This window comes from Homo sapiens, chromosome X (genome assembly GCF_000001405.40).
Source record: "Homo sapiens chromosome X, GRCh38.p14 Primary Assembly".
Classification (NCBI taxonomy): Eukaryota; Metazoa; Chordata; class Mammalia; order Primates; family Hominidae; genus Homo; species Homo sapiens.
Window position 1 is genome coordinate 57,973,230 of NC_000023.11, and position 26,567 is coordinate 57,999,796.

Below are 26,567 nucleotides of genomic sequence, written 5' to 3' on the forward strand. Positions count from 1 at the left end.
TGAGCATGAAATGTCTTTCCATTTGTATTCCTTGTTGAGGTCTTTTGCCCTCTTGGTTAAATTTATGCCTAGGTCTTTTATGTTATTGTAGCTATTGTAAATGGGATTACCTTGCTGATTTTTTTTAGCTAGTTATTATTACTGTATTTAAAACAGTGATATTTGTATGTTTCTTTTGTGTCTTGCAACTTTACTAAATTTGTTTATCAGCTCTAAGAGGTTTCTACAGTTTAGTTTTTAGGTTTTCCAAATATAAGATCATTTAAAGGACAAAGAAGGACAATTTTAATTCCTATTTTCCAATTTGGATGCTTTTTATTTCTTTCTCTTGCCTGGTTGCTCTGGCTAGCACTTCCGGTAGTATGTTGAATAGGAATGGTGAAAGTGGGCATACTTGTCTTGTTCCAGTTTTTACAGGAAAGGCTTTCAGCTTTTGCCCATATAGTATTATGTTAACCATGGATTGGTAATACAGGGCCTTTTTTATTTCAAGTTATGTTATTTCTGTGACTAGTGTTTTAAGAGTTTTTGTCATTAAGGAATGCTGAATTTTATAAAATACTTTTTCTTCATCTATTGAGATGAACATATAGCTTTTGTTTTTCATTTTTTGATGTGATGTAACATATTTATTGATTTCCTTTTTTCTTTGTGTTGGAAACCAGAGGTTTATTATCACTCAAATCAGTCTTTCCAAGCATTCGGGAATCAGCATTTTTAAGGATAATTTGGTGTTGGGGGCAGTGAGTTGGAAGTACTAATTAGTTGTGTCAGAGATAAAATCACAGAGAGTCAAAGTTGTCTTCCTGAGCTGATTCAGTTTCTGAGTGGGGTCCCCAAGATCAGATGAGCCAGTTTATCATTCAGGGTGGTGGCAGCTGATCCATCAAGTACAGGGTCTGCAAAATATCTCAAGCACTGCTCTGCAGTTTTACAATGGTGATGTTATCCCCAGGAGCAATTTGGGGAAGGTCAGAATCTTGTAGCCTCCAGCTAAATAACTCCTAAACCATAATTTCTAATCTTGTGGCTAATTTGTTAGTCTTAAAAAGGCAGTCTAGCTCCCAGGCAAGAAGGAGATTTCTTTTGAGAAAGGGCTCTTATTGTCTATCTTTAAGACTATAAACTATAATAAATTCTTCCCAAAGTTATTTCAACCTACTTCCAGGAATAAACAAGGACAGTTTGGAGGTTAGAAGCAAGGTGGAGTTGGTTAGGTCAGATCTCTTTCACTGTCTCAGTTATAATTATGCACTGATGGTTTCAATCTCTCCCTTTGGGTTTTATAACACCTTAATCAAGGTTTTGGCTAATGAAGACGGGAAAAGGGTGACAACCACTCTAACTTATTTCTGTAGACCAGGGGTATAGTGCAGGTTGCCGTTAACCCCCAAGTGAGAGGAGTGGAACCACTTTGCAACTGTTTTGAGCATATGAACATACTCTGGCAGGCTGGGCTGGGTTTCCAAAGCTTGTATGACAAAGGCATTAGTATTCTCATTAGTAGTTTTAGCACAGCATTTAAGAGAACAGCATGCTACTTGGTAAACAATGAGTTCTAGGATAAAGAATGCAATTCCTAGTTTTAAAAGTAAAGATTGAAAAGCATTAGTTTGGGGACTTGTAGGCCATAAAGAATTTAGGATGTAATTCAAATTTCATGAAAAAACACTTAAGAATAACTAGCAATAGGTGGACTATAGTTGTTTTTGAAACATATTTTTTCCCTTTCCAGTCCCCATTTTTATTAAAGATAAATTATAGTAGGTCAAATTTACTTGCAAAATACATTTTACTCTTTTTTAAAGTCGGCTGTGCTGGAACTTTTTTTCTACAAGGAATCTCAGATTGTACTTTTTAAAGCCTTGAAGCCAGGCCATGGGTTTGTACCCTCAAATACCTATGAGTTTCTCACCTTGATATCCCAACATAACTTGGAGCTCCTGGGGCTGTCAGAAAATGACATTCTTTACTTACCACAGTTCAGGAACCAATACTTACAAATAGTTTCTAAATTCTGGAAAAATCAGGTAGATAGAAATCAATATGCCTCAAATTTTATTCACAGGAGTATACATTACTCAATCACTAAATCTTGTAAATAATTTAAAAGAAAAAGTTTTCTTGACTCTGAAACACCAAAATTTAGCAATGTTTAACACATCAGCTCTCAATGAGAGTCCTAGAAGTTTGCCTTATTCCTTCTATCCCAATAGAACAATTTCTAAGTTTATCAGAGACCTGCATTCCTTAGTACCATCAGAGTTCTCTGTGTGATTATGAACAAGGCAACAATTTACACTATACCTGAAGGATTCCCTTTAGTATTGCATTTAGTATATATCATCTGGTGACAATATTCTTAGTGTTGGTTTGTTGACAATGTTACTATTTCTTCTTAATTTTGGAAATATTTTCACTGGGTATGTTATCTTCCTCCAAAAAGGATTTACATGTGCTTAGGGCCAAGGACTAGGTTAGGGGCATTGGTAATACAGAGAATTTGATTTAAGTGAAGGACTGGGATGACTCAAGGACAGCTGGCTTATTTTAATTTACCTCTGTTCCTAGGGTGCATTGCTTCTGGGTTCCAACCTAAAGACAGAGGGATGGCCAGGCGCAGTGGCTCATGCCTGTAATCCCAGCACTATGGGAGGCCGAGGCAGGCGGATTACCTGAGGTCAGGAATTCAAGACCAGCCTGGCCAAGATGGTGAAACCCCATCTCTACAAAAATACAAAAAATTAGTGGCACATGATGGTGGATACCTGTAATCCCAGCTACTTGGGAGGCTGGGGCAGAAGAATTGCTTGAAACCGGGAGGCGGAGGTTGCAGTGAGCCGAGATCGTGCCATTGCACTCCAGCCTGGGCAACAAAGCAAGACTCTGTTAAAAAGAAAAAAAAAAAAACGACAGAGGGATTTGCCAGGGCCCCTTTCATTGTTAGAACCTGAACTACAATTGATGTCTCGCTTACCCCATTAATCTACCAAAAGCTCTGCTCAGCTTCTCTGCCTCTTAACTGCCTTTTGTTTGTTTGTTTGTTTGTTTTTTGTTTTGTTTTGTTTTGTTTTTTTAAATTGGCAGGTGCTTCCAAGAGAAAAGCAGCCAAAAATGCTGGGCTCATCTCTCTAAATTTCCTCCTTCTTTTGGATTTTGGCCCTATAATCTTTCACTGATTTGAATGTAAACAGATTTTTAAAAAAATTGTATTCAGCTTTCCTAGCTGCTCTCACTAGGATGGATGGTCAGAATTATCTAGATCATCATGATTGAGGGCAAAACCATTGGTACCCTGCCCATATTCTCTTGGCAATACCTTTTCTGTGTATGCTGATCTTATGGTTTATTCCATCTCATTGTAGACTGTACTGGGATGAAAAGTGTGTCTCCCCAAAATATCAGTTCCTAATCCCTGGAAACTTTAAATGTTACCTTACAAGGAAAAAAAATATTTTTGCATGTGTGGTTAAATCAAGGAGGCTGAGATGGGGAAGACTATGCCGGATTACTTGGGTGTGACCTGAATGCCATCCCAAGCGTCTTTATGAGAGAGAAACAGAGGGAAATTTTGCACACACATGCAGAGGAGAAGGCAATATGAAGACAGAGGCGAAGGTGAGAGTGATGCAGTCACAAGGCAAGGGAAGCCGGCAACCACTGGGAGTTGAGTTGAAAGAGTTAAGCAACAGATTCTCCTCTAAATCCTTTGAAGGAGTGCAGTCCAGTTGACACCTTGATTTCAGTCCAGTGATACTGATTTTGGATCTCTGGTCCCCAGGACTGTGAGAGAATATATTTTTGTGGTTTTAAGCCACCCAGTTTCTAGTAATTTTTTACTGCAGCCACAGAAAACATACCTAGATTGTTTCCATCAAAGCATTTTTATATCATTTTCCTATCTCATTTAATTAAATACCGTAAGACACCTGACAGGTTCAAAGCCTTGAGTCCCTGTCCTTCAGAAACTCACAATCTGCTATCATAAGTAATTCTGACCCAACCTGACAATAATAATCAAGTGCTAAAATTAAAATAAAATATCAAAGAAAATATGGGAGAGGGAGAAATTAATTTTAGCTGAGGGAACCCAGGAAGTCATCTTAGATAGGATGGTATTTAAAGATCTTTTACTGCCTTCAAACTCCTCACACTTTGTGTTTTTATGTAAGTTTTCGTCACTCTTGCTTTTTCCTTTTTTTCTTTTTCTTTTCTTTTTTTTTTTGATGGAGTCTCACTCTGTCGCCCAGCCAGGCTGGCGTGCAGATGTGCGATCTCGGCTCACTGCAACCTCTGCCTCCCAAGTTCAAGTGATTCTCCTGCCTCATCTTCCCGAGTACCTGGGATTACAGGCACACGCCACCATACCCAGATAATTTTTTGTATTTTTAGTAGAGAGAGGGTTTCACCATGTTAGCTAGGCTGGTCTCGACCTCCTGACCTCAAGTGATTCACCCGCCTCGGCCTCCCAAATTGCTAGGATTACAGGTGTGAGCCACCGTGCCTGGCCTACTTTTTCTCTTGTAATTGCTTTCATTTCGTTTAACAAAGGAATACTGTAAAATAGGGTTTAAGAGCATGTTTTCACGGTTCCACTTCCCCTCTGTTTATTCTTACTGTGCTTGACATGGCTTTAGAGAAGGGGACACTCCAAGGGCTCCTGGCACGACAGCGATGGTGAGACTTCCCACAGGGAAGTGGTGTCTCCTTCCCACAGGGCTCCCAGAGACTCTGTCTTCTAGTGAAAGAAGGGCAGCTGACTACGAAAAGGGGCTGTTTCCGGTCGAGGATTTGTGGCAGTTGGGGTCCATGTGTCAGAATGACTGAGTTGGGGTGAAAGGGATTACTTTATCATTTCTTCTCAGAATACAGGGCGGCTTAAGGGGTACATTGAGAATCACAGGGAATGCCAAGGCTTACAATCTCTGTAAAGGGAAGTAGTATTTTCAGGAGAGCCCATAAGAGGGCAGTATTAACGAAGGATCAATTTCTACAGGTTCTACAGAGTGGGAGAGCCAGGGTATATACTCTTGAGCCCACATCCAAAGCACCACAGTCTTTAAAAATGCCATGCTCAGCCTCACAAAAACCCAGATGCTTCTGTGCTTTATTTTAGCACGTACCCACCTGTTAAGGTATGGGGAAACAACCAAAAGCCAAGTATGTGTATAAAATTACAACCCTGTGTAGACAGACGCCCTCCCTCATCTGCCTCCCAAAGTGGGAGAATGAATGACAGAAGTTAAGATAGGCATTACTAAAGCTAGAATTGACTAGGAATTTTAGTTAGTTCGGTGGCATACAACAATTTTACATAACAATTATAATTATTAATGAGGTACACTAAATTATATCAGATTTATAGAAGTTTCCCACAATTTTGGAATGTATTTATACAAAACAGCCCAAAGAAACCGAAAAACCATTTCACATTTGACAATGCTTCCTATATGATTGCTATACCAAATAAGCCAAATACATCATTTTTGGATGATAGGAACCCTAATATATAAATGATTAATTAGGTCAGAAATAGAAATACTTTATAATTTGATTTTGAAAAACTTTTTTATTAAATATAAGAGGTTTAAAACACTGAATATCACAAAATAGAATTCCAGGTCACATAAGTCATTCATTTAGCCAAAATGTGGTAGGGCTACAGTTACAGACATCTTGTGGTGGAGCTACAGACAGACATCTTGCAATGGGTATACAGACAGATGCCTGACCATAGAGCTACAGTTATGGAATATCTCCCCAGGACTATTTTTCTATTGCAATTAAATCCCTGCACATTGAGTCAGCAGATCCCCATTGGTAGAGAAAGTACCACAGTCATCTCCAAGTCCAAGAGAGCTAGGTGGCCATTTGGGCTGGCCTCTAGACTCTCTGGCCTCATCACCAGAGAGAGACTACTGAACCCCAAGTACATAGCCAGAAGGGCAATCCCAGACAAGCTCCCAAATTTGTAACCACCCAAGGGGTTCACCTTACACAGTGCCTAGAAAAGCCCATTTATCAAAACAGGGGAAATGCAATAGCGAAAGAGTAATTCACACTGAGTGTTCTGTGCAGGAGACCAGAATTTTATTATTACTCAGATCAGTCTTTTGATTTGCATATGTTGAAGGATCCTTGCATCCCTGGAGTAAATCCTGTATGATCACGGTATATTTTATTTTTAGTGTGCTGTGAATTCAGCTTGCTATTTTTTTTTAATTTATAAAGATGAGTTTAACACTAAAAATTATTAAAATTTTTGATAGGAATTTGTTTGTAACATCTGTAGTAATTTTAAATGAATTCAAAATAGTTAACATAGTCCCATGTACATATTATATATTCAAAATAAATATTTACCAATCTGGGTTTATATAATTTTTTTAAAAATTTTTATTTTATTATTATTATACTTTAAGTTTTAGGGTACATATGCACAATGTGCAGGTTTGTTACATATTTACACATGTGCCATGTTGCTGTGCTGCACCCATTAACTCGTCATTTAGCATTAGGTATATCTCCACATGCTATCCCTCCCCTGTCCCCCCACCCCACAACAGTCCCCGGAGTGTGATGTTCCCCTTCCTGTGTTCATGTGTTCTCATTCTTCAATTCCCACCTATGAGTGAGAACATGTGGTGTTTGGTTTTTTGTCCTTGCGATATTTTGCTGAGAATGATGGTTTCCAGTTTCATCCATGTCCCTACAAAGGACATGAACTCATCATTTTTTATGGCTGCATAGTATTCCTTGCGGTATATGTGCCACATTTTCTTAATCCAGTCTATCATTGTTGGACATTTGGGTTGGTTCCAAGTCTTTGCTATTGTGAATAGTGCTGCAATAAACATACATGTGCATGTGTCTTTATAGCAGCATGATTTATAATCCTTTGGGCATATACCCAGTAATGGGATGGCTGGGTCAAATGGTATTTCTAGTTCTAGATCCTTGAGGAATCACCACACTGTCTTCCACAATGGATGAACTAGTTTACAGTCCCACCAACAGTGTAAAAGTGTTCCTATTTCTCCACATCCTCTCCAGCACCTGTTGCTTAATTTTTAATGATCACCATTCTAACTGGTGTGAGATGGTATCTCATTGTAGTTTGGGTTTGCATTTCTCTGATGGCCAGTGATGTTGAGCATTTTTTCATGTGTCTGCTGGCTGCATAAATTTCTTCTTTTGAGAAGTGTCTGTTCATAGCCTTTGCCCAGTTTTTGATGGGGTTGTTTGATTTTTTTCTTGTAAATTTGTTTAAGTTCTTTGTAGATTCTGGATATTAGCCTTTTGTCAGATGAGTAGATTGTAAAAATTTTCTCCCATTCTTTAGGTTGTCTGTTCACTCTGATGGCAGTTTCTTTTGCTGTGCAGAAGCTCTTTAGTTTAATTAGATCCCATTTGTCAATTTTGGCTTTTGTTGCCATTGCTTTTGGTGTTTTAGACATGAAGTCCTTGCCCATGCCTATGTCCTGAATGGTATTGCCTAGGTTTTCTTCTAGGGTATTTATGGTTTTAGGTCTAACATGTAAGTCTTTAATCCATCTTGAATTAATTTTTGTATAAGGTTTAAGGAAGGGATCCAGTTTCAGCTTTGTACATATGGCTAGTCAGTTTTCCCAGCACCATTTATAAAATAGGGAATCCTTTCCCCATTGCTTGTTTTTGTCAGGTTTGTCAAAGATCAGATGGTTGTAGATATGTGGTATTATTTCTGAGGGCTCTGTTCTGTTCCATTGATCTATATCTCTGTTTTGGTACCAGTACCATAATGTTTTGGTTATTGTAGCCTTGTAGTATAGTTTGAAATCAGGTAGCGTGATGCCTCCAGCTTTGTTCTTTTGGCTTAGGATTGACTTGGCTTTGCGGGCTCTTTTTTGGTTCCATATGAACTTTAAAGTAGTTTTTTCCAATTCTGTGAAGAAAGTCATTGGTAGCTTGATGGGGATGGCATTGAATCTATCCATTACCTTGGGCAGTGTGGCCATTTTCGCAATATTGATTCTTCCTACCCATGAGCATGGAATGTTCTTCCATTTGTTTGTATGCTCTTTTATTTCATTGAGCAGTGGTTTGTATTTCTCTTTGAAGAGGTCCTTCACATCCCTTGTAAGTTGGATTCCTAGGTATTTTATTCTCTTTGAAGCAATTGTGAATGGGAGTTCACTCGTGATTTGGCTCTCTGTTTGTCTGTTATTGGTGTATAAGAATGCTTGTGATTTTTGCACATTGATTTTGTATCCTGAGACTTTCTGAAGTTGCTTATCAGCTTAAGGAGATTTTGGGCTGAGACAATGGGGTTTTCTAGATATACAATCATGTCATCTGCAAACAGGGACAATTTGACTTCCTCTTTTCCTAATTGAATACCCTTTATTTCCTTCTCCTGCCTAATTGCCCTGGCTAGAACTTCCAACACTATGTTGAATAGGAGTGGTGAAAGAAGGCATCCCTGTCTTGTGCCAGTTTTCAAAGGGAATGCTTCCAGTTTTTGCCCATTCAGTAGGATATTGGCTGTGGATTTGTCATAGATAGCTCTTATTATTTTGAGATAAGTCCCTTCAATACCTAATTATTGAGAGTTTTTAGCATGAAGGGCTGTTGAATTTTATCAAAGGCCTTTTCTGCATCTATCGAAATAATCATGTGGTTTTTGTCTTTGGTTATGTTTATATGCTGGATTACATTTATTGATTTGTGTATGTTGAACCAGCCTTGCATCCCAGGGATGAAGCCGACTTGATCATGTTGGATAAGCTTTTCGATGTGCTGCTGGATTCGGTTTGCCAGTATTTTATTTAAGATTTTTGCATCAATGTTCACCAAGGATATTTGTCTAAAATTCTCTTTTTTTGTTTTGTCTCTGCCAGACTTCGGTATCAGGATGATGTTGGCCTCATAAAATGAGTTAGGGAGGAGTCCCTCTTTTTCTATTGATTGGAATAATTTCAGAAGGAATGGTATCATCTCCTCCTTGTACCTCTGGTAGAATTGGGCTGTGAATCCATCTGGTCCTGGACTTTTTTTGATTGGTAAGCTATTGATTATTGCCACAATTTCAAAGGCTGTTATTGGTCTATTAAGAGATTTAACTTCGTCCTTGTTTAGTCTTGGGAAGGTGTATGTGTCGAGGAATTTATCCATTTTTTCTATATTTTCTAGTTTATTTGCGTAGAGGTGTTTGTAGTATTCTCTGATGATAGTTTGTATTTCTGTGGGATTGGTGGTGATATCCCATTTATCATTTTTTATTGCATCTATTTGATTCTTCTCTCTTTTCTTCTTTATTAGTCTTGCAAGCAGTCTATCAATTTTGTTGATCTTTAAAAAAAAAAAACCAGCTCCTGGATTCATCAATTTTTTGAAGGGTTTTTTTGTGTTTCTATTTCCTTCAGTCCTGTTCTGATTTTAGTTATTTCTTGCCTTCTGCTAACTTTTGAATGTGTTTGCTCTTGCTTTTCTCGTTCTTTTAATTGTGATGTTAGGGTGTCAATTTTGTATCTTTCCTGCTTTCTCTTGTGGGCATTTAGTGCTATAAATTTCGCTCTACACACTGCTTTGAATGTGTCCCAGAGATTCTGGTATGTTGTGTCTTTATTCTCATTGCTTTCAAAGAACATCTTTATTTCTGCTTTCATTTCCTTATGTACCCAGTAGTCATTCAGGAGCAGGTTGTTCAGTTTCCATGTATTTGAGCAGTTTTGAGTGAGTTTCTTAATCTTGAGTTTTAGTTTGATTGCACTGTGGTCTGAGAGACAGTTTGTTATAATTTCTGTTCTTTTACATTTGCTGAGGAGTGCTTTACTTCCAACTATGTGGTCAGTTTTGGAATAGGTATGGTGTGGTGCTGAAAAAAAATGTATGTTCTGTTGATTTGTGGTGGAGAGTTCTGTAGATGTCTATTAGGTCTGCTTGGTGCAGAGCTGTGTTCAATTCCTGGGTATCCTTGTTAACTTTCTGTCTCATTGATCTGTCTAATATTTGTTCATTAGACACACCCCGTGTGGTGCCTAATGTTTATTCATTTCTGTTGCCTAATTGCTCTGGGTAGTACTTCAAGTATTTTGTTTAATAAAGGCAGAAAAGTGGGTATTTTTGTGTTCTTCCTGATATTAGAGGAAAGCTTTCAGCTTTGCCTCATACAGTATGTTGTTAGATGTCCGTTTGTGAAAATGTGTCCTTTATTGTATTGATGTGGCCTTCCTTCTAAACCTACTTTATTTTTTATCTGAAGAATGTCGCATGTTATCACGTGCTTTCTCTTTGTCTATTGAGGTGATTATATAATGAGTGTTCTACATTCTGCTTATGTGATGTATCACATTTATTGATTTGTGTGTGTTAAACCATCTTTTCACCTCTGGGATAAACTCACCTGATCATTGTGAATGATTTTTTAATGTGCTTCTGAATTCAGTTTTTGAAGATTTTTGCATCTACATTCAACAGGGATATTAGACTACAGTTTTTATTGTTGTGTTATTTATGGCTTTGGTATCAGTGTATTGCTAGTCTCATAGAATTAGTTTGGAAGTATTTCCTCCTTATAAAATTTTTTAAAGAATTTTGAGAACAGTCATTATTGTCTTTCTAAAAATATTTGGCAGGATTCTCTAGTGAAACCATCAGTTCCTGGACTTTTCTTTAATGGGAGATTTTTTTCTTATTATTTTAATCTCCTTACTTATAATTGTATGCTCAGGCTTTCTATTTTTTCTTGGTTCAATCTTGGTAGCTTTTTGTGTCCAGAAATTTATTTTTTTCTGGTTTTCTAATTTGTTCTCTTAATTTATCTGAGATTATTCTAGTGAGAATATTCTTGTATTCTCTTACAGCTGTCTGTAATATTCTCTAATGGTCCTTTTTTTTTTTTTTTGAAGGAGTCTCGCTCTGTCGCCCAGGCTGGAGTGCAGTGGGGTGATCTCGGCTCACTGCCAGCTCTGCCTCCTGGGTTCACACCATTCTCCTCCCTCAGCCTCCAAAGTAGCTGGGACTGCAGGCCCCCACCACCACGCCCAGCTAAATTTTTATTTTTTAGTAGAGACGGGGTTTCACCATGTTAGCCACAATGGTCTCGATCTCCTGACTTCATGTTCCACCTGCCTTAGCCTCCCAAAGTGCTGGGATTACAGGCATGAGCCACCACGCCCAGCATCTAATGATCCTTTTTATTTTTGTGGTATCAAGTGTAAGGTTTTCTTTTCTGTTTCTGATTTTATTTGGTTTTCTTTTTGTTTCCTGATTAGTCTAGTTTATGCTTTGTCAATTGTGTTTTATTTTTTCAAAAAACAGCTTTTTTTTTCATTTTTTTATTGTTATTTCAGTGTCAATTTTGTTTATTTTTGCTCTATTTTAAAATTTTATTTTCTTGACCAAGAAGCAGCTTCTCTGCCCCTTCTGGAATCTCCACCTGGTTCAGCCCACCTGCCTCCACTCCTGCTTCCACCATGTCCATCAGGGTGACCCAGAAGTCCTACAAGGTGTCCACCTCTGGCCCCTGGTTCTTCAGCAGCTGCTCCTACTTGAGTGGGCCCAGTGCCCACATCAGCTCCTTGAGCTTCTCCCGAGCGGGCAGCAGCAGCTTCCAGGGTGGCCTGGGCAGAGGCTATGGTGGGGCCAGCGGCATGGAAGTCATCACTGCTGTAATGGTCAACCAGAGCCTGCTGAGCCCCATTAACCTGGAGGTGGACCTCAACATCCAGGCCATGCACACCTAAGAGAAGGAGCAGATCAAGACCCTCAACAAGTTTGCCTCCTTCATTGACAAGGTACAGTTCCTGGAGCAGCAGAACAAGATGCTGGAGAACAAGTGGAGCCTCCTGCAGCAGCAGAAGATGGCTCAGAGCAACCTAGACAACATGTTCGAGAGCTACATCAACAACCTTAGGTGGCAGCTGGAGACTCTGGGCCGGAAGAAGCTGAAGCTGGAGGCAGAGCTTGGCAACATGCAGGGGCTGGTGGAGGATTTCAAGAACAAGTATGAGGATGAGATCAATAAGTATACAGAGATGGAGAATGAATTTGTCCTCATCAAGAAGGATGTGGATGAAGCTTACATGAACAAGGTAGAGCTGGAGTATCGCCTGGAAGGGCCGACTGATGAGATCAACTTCCTCAGGAAGTTGTATGAACAAGAGATCCGGGAGCTGCAGTCCCAGATCCTGGACATGTCTGTGGTGCTGTCCATGGACAACAGCCACTCCCTGGACATGGACAGCATCATTGCTGAGGTCAAGGTGCAGTACGAGGAGATCGCTAACCGCAGCTGGGCTGAGGCTGAGAGAATGTACCAGAACTAGTATGAGGAACTGCAGATGCTGGCTGGGGAGCACGGGGATGACCTACTTAGTACAAAGACTGAGATCTCCACGATAAACCAGAACATCAGCTGGCTCCAGGCTGAGATTGAGGGCCTCAAAGGCCAGAGGGCTTCCTGGAGTCCACCATAACAGATGTGGAACAACGTGGGGAGCTGGTCATTAAGGATGCCAATGCCAAGCTTTCCCAGCTGGAGGCTGCCCTGCAGCGGGCCAAGCAGGACATGGCACTGCAGCTGCATGAGTACCAGGAGCTGATGAACTTCAAGTTGGCTCAGGACATCGTGATCACCACCTACAGGAAGCTGCTGGAGAGCGAGGGGAGCTGGCTGGAGTCTGGGATGCAGAGCATGAGTATCCATATGAAGACCACCAGTGGCTATGCAGGTAGTCTGAGCTCGGCCTATGGGGGCCTCACAAGCCCCAGCCTCAGCTACAGCCTGGGCTCCAGCTTTGGCTCTGGCGCTGGCTCCAGCTCCTTCAGCCACACCAGCTCCACCAGGGCCGCGGTTGTGAAGAAGATTGAGGCCCAGAATGGGAAGCTCGTGTCCAAGTCCTCTGACGTCCTGCCCAAGTGAACAGCGGTGGCAGCCCCTCCCAGCCTGCCCCTCCTGCGGCTGCCTCAGAGCCCAGAGGCAGGCTGCTGTGCAGGGAAGCACAGGGAACAGGAGACACACCTGAGCCTCAGCCCTAGCCCTCAGCCCACCCGCGGGGGAGTTCACGGCCTGGGGATGCCCCTTGCCCATGCCTCCAGCTACAAAACAATTCAATTTCTTCCTTCCTTCCTTCCTTGCTTCCTTCCTTCCTTCCTTCCTTCTTTCCTTCCTTCCTTCCTTCTTTCTTTCTCTTTCTTTCTTTCTTCTTTCTTTCTCTGTTCTTTCTTCTCTTTTCTTTCTTTCTTTTCTTTTTACTTTCTTTCTTTCCTTTCTTTCTTCTTTCTTTTTCTTTCTTTCTTTCCTTTTTCCAAAATAAAACCTCAGATAGCTCAGAAAAAAAACTTTTCTTTTACTTATTTTGTATTTGATTCAATCCTAATTTTATAATTCCTTGACATGCAATGTTAGGTTGTTTATTTGAGATATTTTTTACATTCATGTAGATGTTTATTACTATAAACCTCCTGCTTTAAACTGCTTTTGTCATATCCCATTTTTTTTGGTATGGCATGTTTTTTTCATATCTTTAAGAGAATTTTAATTTTTTTCTACTTTATTCACTGATTCATTTGTTGTTCAGGAATATTTAATTTCCATGTGTTTGTATAGTTTTGAATATTCCTTCTGTTTTTAGCTTTTAGTTTTATTCAATTTTGTACTTGAAGTTATTTCAATTCTTTAAAATTTGTTGAGACTTGTTTTTTGGCTAAACATGTAATCTATACTGGAGAATGTTTCATATACTGATGAGAACAATATGTATTCTGTAGTTGTTGGATAAAAAATTTTGTAAATATCACCAAGTTCCATTTGGTCTAAAGGGCAGTTTAAATCTAATGATTCTTTGTGTATTTTCTGCCCAGATGATTTGTCCAAAGCTAATAGTTGAGTGTTAAGTTCTCCAGTCATTATTTTTATTTATTTACTTAGAGACAGGGTCTTACTCTGTAGCCCAGGCTGGAGTGCAATGGCACAATCATGGCTCACTGCAGCCTTGACTTTCCAGGCTCAAGTCATGCTCCAGCCTCAGCCTCCCAAATAGCTGGGACTACAGGTGTGCATAAGTATGCTGAGCTATATTTTTTATTTTTTGTAAAGACATGGTCTCATTATTTTGCCCAGGCTCCCAATCATTATTCTAGAAAAATCTCTCCCTTTAGATCTAATAAGATCTGATAATATATGCTTTATATACTGGAAGTTCTAGTGTTGAATGTATATATATTTACCATTGTTATATCTGCTTTCTGAATTGATCACATTATTATATATATTAACTGTATTTATCTCTTTTTACAGTTTTTGCCTTAAAGTCTGTTTTATCTGATATAAGTATAGCTATTCTTGCTTGTTTTTTATTTCTGTTGTGTGAAATATCTTTTCCCATCTCTTCACTTTTATTTTATGTGTGTCATTAAAAGTTCCTTTTTAGGTAGCTGATATTGTAGTCGTGATTTTAATTATATTCATTTTTCCAGTCAGTATTATTAAGTGGACAATTTAATCCATTTACATTTAATGCTGTGATAGACATTACTTAATATTGCTATTTCATTGTGTTTTGGGTTTTTTGTATATCATTTGTCCCTTTCTTCCTCTCTTATCATCATTGCAGTTTGGTGGTTTTCTGTAGTGGTAACATTTGCATCCTTTCTCTTTCTTATTTTTGTGTCTGTTCTACCAGTAACTTTTATACTTTTGTGTTTTCATAATGGTAGATATTGCCCTTTTGTTTCCAGATGTAGGACTCTCTCAAGCATTTTTTGTGAGGCAGACCTAGTGGTGAAGAATGTCTTCAGTTTTTGCTTATATGGGAAAGATTATCTTTCTTTTTTTATATTGGAGGATGGCCTGGCTGGGTATAGTATTCTTGGCCGACAGTTTTTTTTTTTTCTTTTCACTGTCTGAATATATTAACTTATTCTCTATTGGCTTTTAAGATTTCTGCCAAGAAATCTGAGATTATTCTAATGAGGATACTGTTGTATGTGACTGTTTTTTATCTTGTTGTTTTAATAATTATCTCTTAGTCTTTTGACTTCTGACAGTTTGACCATAATGTTACCCCTGAGAGCACCTTCTTGGGTTGAATATGTTTTGCAATCTTTGAGCTTCCTGGATCTAAATGTTTATATCTCCCTCACAACTTGGAAATGTTTCAGCTATTCACTTACTAAATGTGTTTTCTATGCCTTTCCCCATCCCTTCTTTTTCAAAAACTCCTGTCATACAAATATTTATTCACTAATGGTGTCCCATAAATCTTGCAGTCTGTCTTCACTCTTTTTTATTTTCATTGCTTTTTTTTCCCTCTGACTGGGTAATTTCAAATAACCAACATTGTAGTTCAGAGGTTCTTTTTTCTCATCGTGATTAAGTCTTCCATTGAAGCTCTCCTTCCTGTTGTGTTTTTTATTTTGTTCATTTAATTCTTCAGATGTAAGATTTCTGTCTTCTTCTTTTTTATGGTATTTATTTTTTGAAAAATAATTATTGTTTATATTGTAAATTGTTTTCCTGATTTTGCTGAATTTTCTCACTGTACTTTCTTGCATCTCATGAAATTCTTTTAATATTCTTGTTTTGAATTCTTTCTCTGGCAATTTGTAGATTTCCCTTTTATAGCAGCATGTTATTAGAGAGTAACAGTGTGTCTTTGTTGGTGTCATATTTCTTGGGTTTTTTGTTTTTCTGTTTGTTTCTTGTGTGTTTGCATTGATGTTTGTGAAACTGATAGGACAACTGCATTTCCAAAATTTTAAAAGTGTCTTTCAGAGAGAAAGAATTTCACCTTTTGGGGGTTTTAGTGTGCCAGTTGGGAAGGGTGTGGTTACTCTGTTTAATGGTAGATTCATTGGTATACTCTTCATACAACTTCTTCAGCTGTGTTCAATTTGACAATAACTGTGATTACCTTGGTGACTGGGGCTGTAGAAGTTTGTAGCAGCAGCAGCAGCAGCAGCAGTAGTGTAGTTTGTTAATGTCCTTGTTGGTAAGAGCATTTGAGTCCTCTTATTCTCATTTTTCCCAAAATAAGGAGATGCAACCAAGTGATGGCAGCAGCCACTGCCATCATGCTGGCTGCAGCAGGGAGGTATGTCTGGGGCTGCATACTCCATGGAGCCAGTGGGAGCCAAGGACCAGCAGTAGCTTTGCCCCTTCTAAGTTGGGATGGGAGCTCCTCATGTTCAGCTGCAGCCACCCAAATCATGGCTGTAAACCCAGGCATCTCACTCCATGGAGCAGGCAAAAACCCCTCCCTCCTGGGTTGGGCTGCAGCTATCCCATTTGCAGCTGTAGATCCAAGCCTCCCTGTGCTATTGGTGGGGCCCAGGAGTAGGCAGAATCTCTGCCCCTTGGGTACAGGCCCATTTGCCCAACCCACAGCTGCAGACCTAGGTCTCCTGCTCCACTAAGCTGGCAGGAGTTGGGATGAGCAGGAGCCCCACCCTTTCCCAGTTGGCAGGGTGGGAGCTACCCAGGTGCAGCTGCATTCTCCATGCCAGGTGCACAACCTGGTGCATCCTCATGGCCTGGAAAGGCCCCCATCCATGTTCCAAAAGGCTTGGGGTTATCTGCTCCTGCTGCCTGGCCTCTCTCTGCTCCCAGGATCTGCTCTTATCTGAGTGTGGGGTTGAGGTCAAAACAGGGCACTGTCACAGCCTGGCAGGTGTGCACATGCTCAGGGAAATATTGACATGCTCTCTCCCTGCCCTCTTGTCCCCCTCCAGAAGTTAGGCCCTGATGAACATGAGATGGGAAGCTAAGTGGGAGACTGAGGGGGGCTGGGCACTGGCCTGCAGGTGCCCCTTGGTGTCAGTAGCCTGGGCACCATGGATGATTACAGGAGGCAGACAGGCTCCTGAGTGGAAGAGGGAGGGTCTCCAGTGAAGCCTCACCTTCAGGACAGACTGCCAGTCCTGTGGACCAGATGGGGGAGCTTATGGTGCTTTGTTTCTGGGCCTGCCAGTGGCCACTGATGTACCAATGAGCATGCACTTCCTCCCTTCTGAGGTCCATAAATGCCCTAGGCTCAGCCTAAGCAGTGCAGAGGACTGAGAGGACAGAAAGGATGGAGACACAATGGAATGATCAGCTGCAGAGAGGAGTTACCCTCTCTACTGAGAGCTTCAGAGAACTGCAGAGACATGGGGACTACCAGCTGCAGAGAGAAGCAATCCTCTCCAGGGTCTCCTCTTTGCTGAGAGCAGCAGATGTTGATTTGACCACTAGCAGAGAGGAGTTACCATCTCCAGTGCCTCCTCTCTGCTGAGAGCTGAATACTTGATGGGATGACCTGCCTACAGAGAGGAGCTACACACTGTGGGTCTCCTCTGAGCTGTTCCAACACTTAATAAACCTCCTCTTAGTCTTGTTCACCCTTCACTTGTCTGCATGCCTCAGTCTTCCAGGATGCAGACAAGAACTTGGGCAAAGGCACCACTGGCCACAGAGGTTTGTGAGCAGAAAACTGACACCTTAAAGATCCTGTAACACAAGGGGATTTCTTTTAGTGTCAGGTCTTACATGGCCTACAAGCTACTTCAGCAGTGCTTGATTCCAGATGCAGTGATCAGAGCAGTTTTAGGGTTGGGGTCCTAGGCTTGTGTTCTTGTGAACCTACTTAGGCACCTGGATCTTGGTTTGTAAGTTTTCTCTCTGTGACATTATTATATTTAGGTTGTCCACAGTGCCACAATCTGTAACTCTGAGGCACTCTTTAGCAGCTCAGGCCCAGGGGTGGGTTGTGGCTGTGGATCTATTCCTAGGGGACAGAACACAAAATTCGTGCTACTTCAAAGATGAAGGGGCTCTCTGGAGGTTTGCGCCTGGAAAGACGTTTACTGCTGCAACTTGGTAGCCTGATCCAACAAGGCTCAGTAGCAACTTGGACCCCAAGGAATAAGGCACCATGTAGTGGTTACTCTCAATCTTGGGTTAGTGGGGCTCTGCTGTACCTCAGACTCTGTAAGGCCATCAAAGCCAACAAGTACTTGTTCCCAGCTGCAACAAGTACTCCAGAATGGCAGATCATGGCTGTTGATTGTCTCCTGAGGGGTAGGGAGAAGTACAGAAATAATGACACTCTCTGTGGAGAGAAGTGTCTCAACAGCTAAGACTGCATGAGGTTAGTGTAGCTTCAGGGAAGCAGGATACTAGAATTCTTTGGCCTGTAGGGTGGGGTATCTCAGCTGCACCACTTTTCTATTTCCCTGAGACATGGAGTACTACATCAGTTCACCCTATGATATGTTACTGTTTAGCTTGTTCAAGACACCATTTCCCCAGGGCACAACACACCTTCTCATCTCAGGCCCAGAGTGCATACCTGTTCCAGGTGACTCAGACACCATTTCCCTGGTATGTTGGGCACCACTTACTTTAAGTACTGTGGTGCATGACCACATTGGATGGCAAAGGCACCCTTTTCTGAGAGGTACTTGGGCACTAGGGAAGAATAACTCCTCTGGGTGGCCAAGGTACTGTTTTCCAAGGAGACAGTGTAGTACTTTAGCTTAGATACAGAGAGGTGTGACTGCTCTTGATAGCCAAGGCACAATTTCTTTGGGATTTTTAGTGTTGCTTCAGCTCTGACACAAGGGTGAAGGGTGCAGCAGCAACTGAGATATGTTTTAGGAGCTGCCTTGCCAAGGCATCATTTCAACAGAAAGAAATGTGCAGCTTTAGCTTAGCCCAAAGAGGCAAATTGAAGGCATCCTGTCAAAGTACTGTTTCTTCAGGAGGAAGTGCACTGCTTCAGCTCAGTCCTCTAGCAGCAGGGAATCACTGTGGCTGAAAGAGGTAGATGGAGCCCCTCTGTCAAAGCACTACTTCTCCAGCAGGAAGTGTCACTAACTTTTTATTTGTTTATTTATTTTTGAATTTATTAAAATTATTGTATTTATTTGTGGAACACAATGTGATGTTTATCAACATATGAGGTAATTCACATACTTATCAGTTTTTAGTTTAATTCAATCTTATTTGTCTATATTTGCTTTTGGTGCCTGTGTTTTCCAGGTCTCATTCAAAAAGGTCATTGCCAAGATCAATGCCATGAAGATTTTTTCCTGTTTTCTTCCAGGAGTTTTAGAGTTTCAGGCCTTACATTTAAGTCTTTTAAATCCAATTTGAGGGGTGTGTGTGTGTGTGTGTGTGTGTGTGTGTGTGTGTGTGTGTTTTGAAATTAGGTTTTCTTCATGTGGATATCCAGTTTTCTCAGCATCATTTGTTCAAGAGACTGTTCTTTTCCCACTGTGTGTTTCTGGCCTCTTTGTTGAAACTCAATTGACCTTAAGAGCATGGATTTATTTCTGGGCTCTCTATTCTGTTCCTTTTTTTTTTAATGCCAGTACCACCCTATTTAGATTACTATTATTTTGTAATAGATTTCAGTCCAGGCAATGAGATGCCTAGGGCTTTGTTCTTTATGGTCAAAATTACTTCAGATATTTGGAGTCTTTTCTGGATATATATGAATTTTAGATTTTTTTTTCAATTTCTGTGAACAATGTCGTGTGGACTTTGATGGGGATTGCATTGAATATGTAGGTTGCTTTGGATGGTATGGACATTTTAACAATATTAAACTTTTTATTTAATAAATAAGTGAGATCTTTCCATGTATTTGTGTATTTTTTATAGCAAAACAGGGGGCCTATAGTCAATAATAAAAAGTATATTTCAATTTCTTTTATCAATGCTTTATAATTTTAAATGTATAGATTTTTCAACTTCTTGGTTAAATTTATTCCTAAGTATTGTTTTTATTTTTATTTTTTTGCTATTTTGAATGGGTTTTTTCATTGTTTTTCAGATCGTTTATTTTTAGTGTATAGAAACACTAGCAAATTTTGTTTGTTGATTTTGTGCTCTCCAACTTTACTGAATTTGTTGATCATTTCTATAAGTATTTTGGTAGAGTTTTTAGGGTTTTACATATATAAGATGATGTTATCTGCAAATAGAAACAATTTATCTTCTTCATTTCCAATTGAATGTCTCTTTTTTGCTTCCCTACTTTTTTTTTTCTAGTTAGAACATCCAGTACTAGGTTGAACAAAATTGGCAAGAGTGGGAATCTTTATCTTATTTTTTGATCTTAGGGAAAAAGCTTTCAAATTTTCTTTGTTAGGTATTATGTTAACTAATGGCTGGTCACATGTACCCTTTATTAAGCTTTTATGTCTTTAGCTATTCTTATGTATGTAGTGATAGCTTATTTTGATTGTAATTTATGTTTCTTGAATGGCTAATGATGATAATAAGCTAGTTTTTTATGTACTTATTTTTAATCTGTATTTTCTGATCTGTGAAATTATTTATTTTCTAATTAAATTGATATTTTTATTTTCTGTTGTTTTAATTGTTTTATCTGCTATATACTTGTCTTTTTTAAGCATGCAGCTTGCAAATATTTTCTTCCAGTCTGTAGCTCATCCATTTATTATTTTAAGAGTGTCTGTCACTGAACAAAAGTCTTTGATCTCAATGATTAAACCCAATTTATCATTTTTATCACTCTGTTTTTGATACCAAGTCTAAAAACATTTTGTTTATGCATATATCTACCAAATGTTTCTTCTATTTTTTCTAAAAGTGTTTTTGTTAATGTTTTTTACTTAAATCCATACTTACTTTTGAATTTATTTGGGTAAAAGGGTTGGGACATTGCTTAAAGTTTATTTATTTGCCTGTGGATTTCTAATTATTTTGGTGCAATTTGTTGAAGAAGCTATCCCCCCTCCAAAGAATAATTTTCACAAGTTTGTGAAAAAATCAGTTGAGCATATTTGTATGGGTCTGTTTCTGACTGCTCTATTCTATTCCAGTGGCTGATGTATGTATCCACGAAACAATGCCACACAATATTTATTACCATAAATGTATAATAGACCTTAAAATTAGGGAAACTAATTCCTTTTACTTTATTTTCAAGGTGGTTTTAGTTATGTAAATTTCTTTCCAATATAAATCTTAGGTTTATCTTGTCTTTAAGATTCTTGTTAAACATTGTGAAAAATTGTGTTAAACCTATATATTAATTTTAATAGAGTTTACATTTTTACCATAATATTTCTTCAGCCAATGTACATGGTATATCTCTCGATGAATTTAAATCTTCTGTGATATTTTTATCAACATTGTGACATTATAAGTAAACAAGTGCTCTCTATATTTTTTAGATCTATGTCTAAGTTTTGCTTTCATTTGAGCAATTGTAAACATTATTGTAATTTTTAGTTCCATGTCTACATAATAATTGCCAGTATATAAAAACAAAAATTATTTTTGTATGTTTTTCTTTAATGGTGTGACTCTGCTGAATTCATGTATTAATTTTTGGAAGACTTTTAGGGATTCCTTGGAATTTTGTCCACAGGTAATCGTATCACCAGAAAATGAAGTCACAATTATCAGTTTTTCTTTAAAAATATTATGCTTTTTATTTCTTTGTGCTGCCTTATTGGACTATTTTAGACTTCTGTCACTATGTTTAATAAGGGTGGTGAAAGCAGATATTATTACCTCATTCACAGTCTTATGGGGAATGAATTCAATCTTTCACCATTAAATTAGTGGCAGATAGTTTGTAGAAGTTATTTATCAAGTTGAGTAAGTTCACCTATATCCCTATTTTTTTCTGAGAGTTATTATTATAAAAAGGTGTTAAATTTTGTCAAATGCTTCTTTTCTGCACAAATTTATTTTAGAATGTGATTTCATTCTTTAGCCTATTAATATTATTCTTAGTTTGCTAAGAATAATGTCCTCCACCTCCATCCATGTTTCTGCAAAGAACATTATCTCATTTCTTTTTATGGCTGCATAGTATTCCATGGTGTATATGTACCACATTTACTTTATCCAGGCTATTATTGCTGGGCATTTAGGTTGATTCCATGTGTTTGCTATTGTGGATAGTGCTGCAATGAGCATAAACTTGCATGCTTCTTTATAAGAGAATTATTTATATTCTTTTGGGTATATATCCAGAAATGGAATTTCTGGGTTGAATGATATTTCTGCCTCTAGGTTTTTAAAACATCAACACACTATCTTCCAAAATGGTTGAACTAACTTACCCTCCCACCAACAGTGTAAAAAGCATTCCTTTTTATCCACAACTTTGCCAGCATTTGTTTTTTGACTTTTTAATAATAACCATTCTGACTGGTGTGAGATGGTATCTCATTGTGACTTTGATTTGCATTACTCTAATGATCAGTGATGTTAAGCTTTTTTCACATGTTTATTGCCTCATATATGTCTTCTTTTGAGAAATGTTTGATCACATTCTTCGCCCACATTTTAATGAGGTTCTTTTGTTCTTGTAAATTTGTATAAGTTCCTTATAGATGCAGGATATTTGACCTTTGTCTGATTGATAGATTGAAAAATTGCATTCTGCAGATTGTCTGTTTACTCTGCTGATAGTTTCTTTTGCTGTGCTGAAGCTCTTTAGTTTAATCAGATCCTATTTATCAATTTTTGCTTTTGATGCAATTTCTTTTGGTGTCTTTGTCATAAAATCTTTGCTTATGCCTATGTAATAAATGATATTGTCTAGGTTTTCTTCCAAGGTTTTTATAAATTTGGGTTTTACATTTAAGTCTTTAATTCATCCTGAGTTGATTTTTGTGTATGTTGTAAGGAAGGGGTCCAGTTTCAATTTTCTGCATATGACTGGCCTGTTCTTCTGGTAGCATTTATTAAATAGGAAATTCTTTTTGCATTGCTTGTTTTCATGAAGTTTGTCAAAGATCAGATGGTCACAGTTGTGCAATCTTATTTCTGGGTTCTCTATTCTGTTTCATTGGTCTATGTGTCTGTTCTTGTGCAAGTACCATGCTATTTTGATTACTGTAATTTTGTAGTATAGTTTGAAGACAGGTAGTGTGATGCCTCTGTCTTTGTTCTTTATGTTTAGGAGTGTCTTGGCTATTCAGGGTCTTCTTCTGCCATATGAATTTAAAAATAGTTTTTTTCTAATTCTGCGAAGAATATCAATGGTGGTTTACTGGGAATAGCATTGAATCTATAAACTGCTTTGAGCAATATGTCCATTTTCATGACATTGATTTTTCCTATCCATGAGCATGGAATGATTTCTCACTGGTTTGTTTCATCTCTGATATCTTTGAGCAGTGGTTTGTAGTTCTCCTTGAAAAGGTAATTCACTTCTCTTGTTAGCTGTATTCTTAGGTATTTTATTCTTTTAGTTGCAATTGTGAATGGGACTTGATTTGTGATTTGGCTCTCGGCTTGCCTGTTGGTGGTGTATGAAAATGATAACATATTTTGCACATTGACATTGTATCCTGAGAGTTTTCTAAAGTTGCTTATCAGCTTAAGAAGCTTTTGAGTTGAGATCGCAGGGTTTTCTAGACGTAGGATTATGTCATCTGCAATCAAGGATAGTTTGACTTCGTCTCTTCCTATTTGAATATGCTTTATTTCTTTCTTATGCCTGATTGCCCTAGGCAGAACTTCCAATAGTATGTTGAATAGGAGTGTTGAGAGAGTGAAAACTGGTCTTGTGCCAGTTTTCAAGGGCAATGCTTCCAGCTTTTGAGCATTCATTATTATATTGGTTGTGGGTTTGTCAAATATGGCTCTTATCGTTTTGACATATGTTCCTTCAGTACCTAGCTTACTGAAAGTTTTTAACATGAAGTCATGTTGAATTTTATCAAAGGCCTTTTCTGCATCTATTGAGATAATCATGTGGTTTATGTCTTTAGTTCTGTTCATGTAATGAATCACATTTATTGATTTGCACGTGTTAAACCAACCTTGCATCCCAGGGATAAAGCCTACTTGATCGTGGTGGATAAGCTTTTTCATGTGCTGGTAGATTCAGTTTGCCAGTATTTTATTGAGGATTTTTGCATCAGTGATTATCACGGATATTGGCCTGAAGTTTTCCTTTTTTGTTGTATTTCTGCCAGGTTTTAGTATCAGCATGATACTAAAACCTCATAAAATGAGTTAGAGAGGAGTCCCTCCTCCTCAATTTTTTGGAATAGTTTTAGTAGGTATGGTATCAACTTTCCTATATACCTCTGGTAGAATTCAGTTGGGAATCCATCTGGTCCTGGATTTTTTTGTTGGTATGCTATTTATTACTGCCTCAATTTCAGAGCTTGTTATTTGTCTATTCATGGATTCAATTTCTTCCTGGTTCAATCTTTGAAGAGTGTATGTGTCTAGGAATATATCCATGTCTTCTAGATTTTCTAGCTTATGTACATAGAGGTGTTTATAATGTTATCTGATGGTAATTTGTCTTTCTGTGGGGTGAAAGGTAATATTCCCCTTATCATTTCTGATAGTGTTTATTTCAATCTTCTCTCTTTTTTTCTTTATTAGTCTAGCTGGTGGTCTATTTTATTTTTCAAAAAAACAGCTCTGGATTCATTGATCTTTTGAAGGGTTTTTTATGTTTCTGTCTTCTTCAGTTTCGTTCTGATTTTGATTATTTCTTCTCTTCTACGAACTGAGAACCTTTGTAAAATCAGGTGAGCACTCACAGTACCTGGTTCTAACTTCATATCGCTAAAAGAGGCACTGAAGAGATAGAAAAAAACAGACCTAAATCATTGATGCCACCCCTCTAGCTCAGACATCAGCAGTATGGTGCAGAATGTCTCTGGGCACTGGGGGAGGTTTAACAGCAATAGTGAGACATTGAACACAGTGTTGTCCTGTTAGACCAGAAAGGAAAACCAGAACCACCTCAACTGAAGCCTGTCCATGGAGGAAGCATTAAATTAGTCTTAGCCAGAGGTGAATCACCAACCTCAGCAGTCCAAACTTGAGTGCCCACAAACCTCACCACCAAGAGACAAAGTGCTTTCAGCCTTTAAATAAACTTGACAAGCAGTCTAGGCCATGAGGACAGCAACTCATGGCAAGTTCTAGGAATGAACTAGGTCCACAGACAGTGGATTTGGTGATGGGGTCGGGGGAGTATGCAACATACTGAAACCTGAGACACCAGCTGGGACAGCCAAGGGAGTGCTGGCATTATCTCTCTCTTAGCCCCAGGCTGCACAGCTCAGGGCTCCAAAGGAGACCCCTACCTTCCTTCTGAAGAGAGGAGAGGGAAGAGTGGAAGGACTTTGTCTTGAAACTTGGATACCAGCTGAGCCACAGCAGGAACGGGCACCACTCACAATCATGAGGCCTCCATTCCAGGCCCTATTTCCCAGAAAACACTTCTAGAAACACCCTGGGCCAGAAGAAAACCAGCTACCTTGAAGGCAAGAAACCAGTCCTGCCAGCATTTATTAACTGCTAACTAAAGTACCCTTGGGCATTGCATAACCAGTAGTTATAACCAGGTACTACATCAAGGGCCTTGGTGAGCCTCTGAGACTCGCTGGCTTCAGGTGAGATTCAGCACATTACCAGCTCTGATGGCTATTGGGAAAAACTCCTTCTGCAGGAAAAAAAGAAAATAAAAAATTAAAGGGGACTTTGTCTTGAACCATATATACTGACACCACCACAGGGGGTAAAGCACCAAGCAAACTATTGGGTTCCCGATTTCAGGACTTGACTCTTGGATGGCATTTATGGACCTGCCCTGGGCCAGAGAGGATCCCTCTGCCCTAAAGGGTGACTCCCAGGCTAGGCAGCATTCATCACAAAGCTGCCTGGCCTGGGACTTAAGAAACTTTGAGCCTTAAGGGAACACTGATGGTAATCTGGCAGTACTCCTCATGGCCTGGGCTGGCAGTGGCTATGGGAGAAAATCCCTCTGCCTTTGAAAGGGGTGGGAAGAGTGGGAAGGACTGCATCTTGTGGTTTGAATATCAGCTCAGCCACAATACAATAAAATACCAGGTAGACATCTAAAGTTTTGGACTGTAGTCCCTGACTTTTAGATGGCACTGTTGGACCCACCTAAGGCCTGGTGACCTCATTTCCCTGAAGAGAAGAACATAAGCTTAGCTGGCTTTGCCACCTGCTGATTATAGAGCCTCAGGGCATTGAGCAGCAAACATTGGCAGTAGCTAGAAAGTGGTTACAGGAGGCCTTGGATGATACCCAGCACTGGGCTGGCTTAAGGTCTGATCCAACAGAGTCCTAGTGGTGGTGGACACAGGGGTGCTGGTGTCACTTCACCTCCAGCTTTAGGTGGCTCAGAACAGAGACAGAAACTTAGTTTGTTTGGGAAAAAGTAAGGGTAAAGAGCAAGAGTCTCTGCCTGGTAATCCAGATCATTCTCCTGGATATTGTCTAAGACCAACAATGTAGTAACTCTACCAGTCTGCAAAAACACAGCTTTACTGAGAGTTTGGGATAACCTTAAAGCAGAAACAGCTTAGATCACAACACTCAAGTATTTTCAAATATCTGGAAAGCCTTCCCAAGAAGGATGACTGCAAATAAGCCCAGACAGTGAAGGCTACAATGAAAACCTAACTCTTCAATGCCTGGACACTGGAGAACATCTACTAGCATCAACATTATCCAGGAAGTTATGACCTCACCAAATGAACTAAATAAAGCACCAGTGACCAATTCTAGAGAAACAGAGATAACTGACCATTCAGACAAAGAATTTAAAATAGCT

General features: G+C 39.2%; 1 pseudogene; it reads left to right on the forward strand.

The window, feature by feature from the left end:
• KRT8P17 (keratin 8 pseudogene 17) lies at positions 11,376–13,102 on the forward strand (annotated as a pseudogene).